Here is a 4,835-nt window from a genome sequence, read left to right as displayed (position 1 = left end):
TGCGGGCTCTTTTTTGGTTCCATATGAACTTTAAAGTAGTTTTTTCCAATTCTGTGAAGAAAGTCATTGGTAGCTTGATGGGGATGGCATTGAATCTATAAATTACCTTGGGCAGTATGGCCATTTTCATATTGATTCTTCCTACCAATGAGCATGGAATGTTCTTCCATTTGTTTGTATCCTCTTTTATTTCATTGAGCAGTGGTTTGTAGTTCTCCTTGAAGAGGTCCTTCACGTCCCTTGTAAGTTGGATTCCTAGGTATTTTATTCTCTTTGAAGCAATTGTGAATGGGAGTTCACTCATGATTTGGCTCTCTGTTTGTCTGTTGTTGATGTATAAGAATGCTTGTGATTTTTGCACCTTGATTTTGTATCCTGAGACTTTGCTGAAGTTGCTTATCAGCTTAAGGAGATTTTGGGCTGAGACAATGGGGTTTTCTAGATATACAATCATGTCGTCTGCAAACAGGGACAATTTGACTTCCTCTTTTCCTAATTGAATACCCTTTATTTCCTTCTCCTGCCTAATTGCCCTGGCCAGAACTTCCAAAACTATGTTGAATAGGAATGGTGAGAGAGCGCATCCCTGTCTTGTGCCAGTTTTCAAAGGGAATGCTTCCAGTTTTTGCCCATTCAGTATGATATTGGCTGTGGGTTTGTCATAGATAGCTCTTATTATTTTGAAATACACCCATCAATACCTAATTTATTGAGAGTTTTTAGCATGAAGGGTTGTTGAATTTTGTCAAAGGCTTTTTCTGCATCTATTGAGATAATCATGTGGTTTTTGTCTTTGGTTCTGTTTATATGCTGGATTACATTTATTGATTTTCGTATATTGAACCAGCCTTTCATCCCAGGGATGAAGCCCACTTGATCATGGTGGATAAGCTTTTTGATGTGCTGCTGGATTCGTTTTGCCAGTATTTTATTGAGAATTTTTGCATCAATGTTCATCAAGGATATTGGTCTAAAATTCTCTTTTTTTGTTGTGTCTCTGCCTGGCTTTGGTATCAGAATGATGCTGGCCTCATAAAATGAGTTAGGGAGGATTCCCTCTTTTCTATTGATTGGAATAGTTTCAGAAGGAATGGTACCAGTTCCTCCTTGTACCTCTGGTAGAATTCGGCTGTGAATCCATCTGGTCCTGGACTCTTTTTGGTTGGTAAGCTATTGATTATTGCCACAATTTCAGAGCCTGTTATTGGTCTATTCAGAGATTGAACTTCTTCCTGGTTTAGTCTTGGGAGAGTGTATGTGTCGAGGAATTTATCCATTTCTTCTAGATTTTCTAGTTTATTTGCATAGAGGTGTTTGTAGTATTCTCTGATGGTAGTTTGTGTTTCTGTGGGATTGGTGGTGATATCCCCTTTATCATTTTTTATTGCGTCTATTTGATTCTTCTTTTTTTCTTTATTAGTCTTGCTAGCGGTCTATCAATTTTGTTGATCCTTTCAAAAAACCAGCTCCTGGATTCATTAATTTTTTGAAGGTTTTTTGTGTCTCTATTTCCTTCAGTTCTGCTCTGATTTTAGTTATTTCTTGCCTTCTGCTAGCTTTTGAATGTGTTGCTCTTGCTTTTCTAGTTCTTTTAATTGTGATGTTAGGGTGTCAATTTTGGATCTTTCCTGCTTTCTCTTGTGGGCATTTAGTGCTATAAATTTCCCTCTACACACTGCTTTGAATGTGTCCCAGAGATTCTGGTATGTTGTGTCTTTGTTCTCGTCGGTTTCAAAGAACATCTTTATTTCTGCTTTCATTTCGTTATGTACCTAGTAGTCATTCAGGAGCAGGTTGTTCAGTTTCCATGTAGTTGAGCAGTTTTGAGTGAGATTCCTAATCCTTAGTTCTAGTTTGATTGCACTGTGGTCTGAGAGATAGTTTGTTATAATTTCTGTTCTTTTATATTTGCTGAGGAGAGCTTTACTTCCCAGTATGTGGTCAATTTTGGAATAGGTGTGGTGTGGTGCTGAAAAAAATGTATATTCTGTTGATTTGGGGTGGAGAGTTCTGTAGATGTCTATTAGGTCCGCTTGGTGCAGAGCTGAGTTCAATTCCTGGGTATCCTTGTTGACTTTCTGTCTCGTTGATCTGTCTAATGTTGACAGTGGGGTGTTAAAATCTCCCATTATTAATGTGTGGGAGTCTAAGTCTCTTTGTAGGTCACTCAGGACTTGCTTTATGAATCTTGGTGCTCCTGTATTGGGTGCATATATATTTAGGATAGTTAGCTCTTCTTGTTGAATTGATCCCTTTACCATTATGTAGTGGCCTTCTTTGTCTCTTTTGATCTTTGTTGGTTTAAAGTCTGTTTTATCTGAGACTAGGATTGCAACCCCTGCCTTTTTTTGTTTTCCATTTGCTTGGTAGATCTTCCTCCATCCTTTTATTTTGAGCCTATGTGTGTCTCTGCACGTGAGATGGGTTTCCTGAATATAGCACACTGATGGGTCTTGACTCTTTATCTAATTTGCGAGTCTGTGTCTTTTAATTGGAGCATTTAGTCCATTTACATTTAACGTTAATATTGTTATGTGTGAATTTGATCCTGTCATTATGATGTTAGCTGGTGATTTTGCTCGTTAGTTGATGCAGTTTCTTCCTAGTCTTGATGGTCTTTACATTTTGGCATGATTTTGCAGCGGCTGGTACCGGTTGTTCCTTTCCATATTTAGTGCTTCCTTCAGGAGCTCTTTTAGGGCAGGCCTGGTGGTGACAAAATCTCTCAGCATTTGCTTGTCTGTAAAGTATTTTATTTCTCCTTCGCTTATGAAGCTTAGTTTGGCTGGAAGTGAAATTCTGGGTTGAAAATTCTTTTCTTTAAGAATGTTGAATATTGGCCCCCACTCTCTTCTGGCTTGTGGAGTTTCTGCCGAGAGATCCGCTGTTAGTCTGATGGGCTTCCCTTTGAGGGTAACCCGACCTTTCTCTCTGGCTCCCCTTAACATTTTTTCCTTCATTTCAACTTTGGTGAATCTGACAGTTATGTGTCTTGGAGTTGCTCTTCTCGAGGAGTATCTTTGTGCCGTTCTCTGTATTTCCTGAATCTGAACGTTGACCTGCCTTGCTAGATTGGGGAAGTTCTCCTGGATAATATCCTGCAGCGTGTTTTCCAACTTGGTTCCATTCTCCCCGTCACTTTCAGGTACACCAACCAGACGTAGATTTGGTCTTTTCACATAGTCCCATATTTCTTGGAGGCTTTGCTCATTTCTTTTTATTCTTTTTTCTCTAAACTTCCCTTCTCGCTTCATTTCATTCATTTCATCTTCCATCACTGATACCCTTTCTTCCAGTTGATCGCATCGGCTCCTGAGGCTTCTGCATTCTTCACATAGTTCTCGAGCCTTGGTTTTCAGCTCCATCAGCTCCTTTAAACACTTCTCTGTATTGGTTATTCTAGTTATACATTCTTCTAAATTTTTTCAAAGTTTTCAACTTCTTTGCCTTTGGTTTGAATGTCCTCCCGTAGCTCAGAGTAATTTGATCATCTGAAGCCTTCTTCTCTCAGCTCGTCAAAGTCATTCTCCATCCAGCTTTGTTCCATTGCTGGTGAGGAACTGCATTCCTTTGGAGGAGGAGAGGCACTCTGCTTTTTAGAGTTTCCAGTTTTTCTGTTCTGTTTTTTCCCCATCTTTGTGGTTTTATCTACTTTTGGTCTTTGATGATGGTGATGTACAGATGGGTTTTTGGTGTGGATGTCCTTTCTGTTTGTTAGTTTTCCTTCTAACAGACAGGACCCTCAGCTGCAGGTCTGTTGGAATACCCTGCCGTGTGAGGTGTCAGTGTGCCCCTGCTGGGGGGTGCCTCCCAGTTCGGCTGCTCGGGGGTCAGGGGTCAGGAACCCACTTGAGGAGGCAGTCTGCCCATTCTGAGATCTCCAGCTGCGTGCTGGGAGAACCACTGCTCTCTTCAAAGCTGTCAGACAGGGACATTTAAGTCTGCAGAGGTTACTGCTGTCTTTTTTTTGTCTTTGCCCTGCCCCCAGAGGTGGAGCCTACAGAGGCAGGCAGGCCTCCTTGAGCTGTGGTGGGCTCCACCCAGTTCGAGCTTCCTGGCTGCTTTGTTTACCTAATCAAGCCTGGGCAATGGTGGGCGCCCCTCCCCCAGCCTCGCTGCTGCCTTGCAGTTTGATCTCAGACTGCTGTGCTAGCAATCAGTGAGACTCCGTGGGCATAGCACCCTCTGAGCCAGGTGTGGGATATAATCTCGTGGTGCGCCGTTTTTTAAGCCCGTCGGAAAAGCGCAGTATTCTGGTGGAAGTGACCCGATTTTCCAGGTGCTGTCCGTCACCCCTTTGTTTGACCCGGAAAGGGAACTCCCTGACCCCTTGCGCTTCCCAAGTGAGGCAATGCCTTGCCCTGCTTTGGCTTGCGCACGGTGCGCACACCCACTGACCTGCGCCCACTGTCTGGCACTCCCTAGTGAGAAGAACCCTGTACCTCAGATGGAAATGCAGAAATCACCCGTCTTCTGCCTCGCTCACGCTGGGAGCTGTAGACTGGAGCTGTTCCTATTCAGCCATCTTGGCTCCTCCCCCAGTAAGTTAAAGACATTCACTGTAACCACTAATGCAATGATTACAATAACACAACAAGGAGTTATAGCTAAAACAAGGAGTTATAGCTAAAAATATAACATTGACCCAATTTAAAAGAAGTAAAAAAGGGGCAAAAAGAAAACAAAGAGCAGATAGTAAAAATGGAAACTATGTAGTAAGATGATAGAGTTAAATTTAACCATATCAACAATCACATTAAATGTTAATGGCTTAAATGGTTTAAGTAGTCCAATTAAAAGGCAGAGGGGGAAAAAGCAAGACCCAACTATACACT

The sequence above is a fragment of the Homo sapiens genome, chromosome 4 (genome assembly GCF_000001405.40).
Source record: "Homo sapiens chromosome 4, GRCh38.p14 Primary Assembly".
Taxonomy (NCBI): Eukaryota; Metazoa; Chordata; class Mammalia; order Primates; family Hominidae; genus Homo; species Homo sapiens.
The sequence above is the reverse complement of the archived record's forward strand: the minus strand, read 5'-3'. Positions refer to the sequence as shown.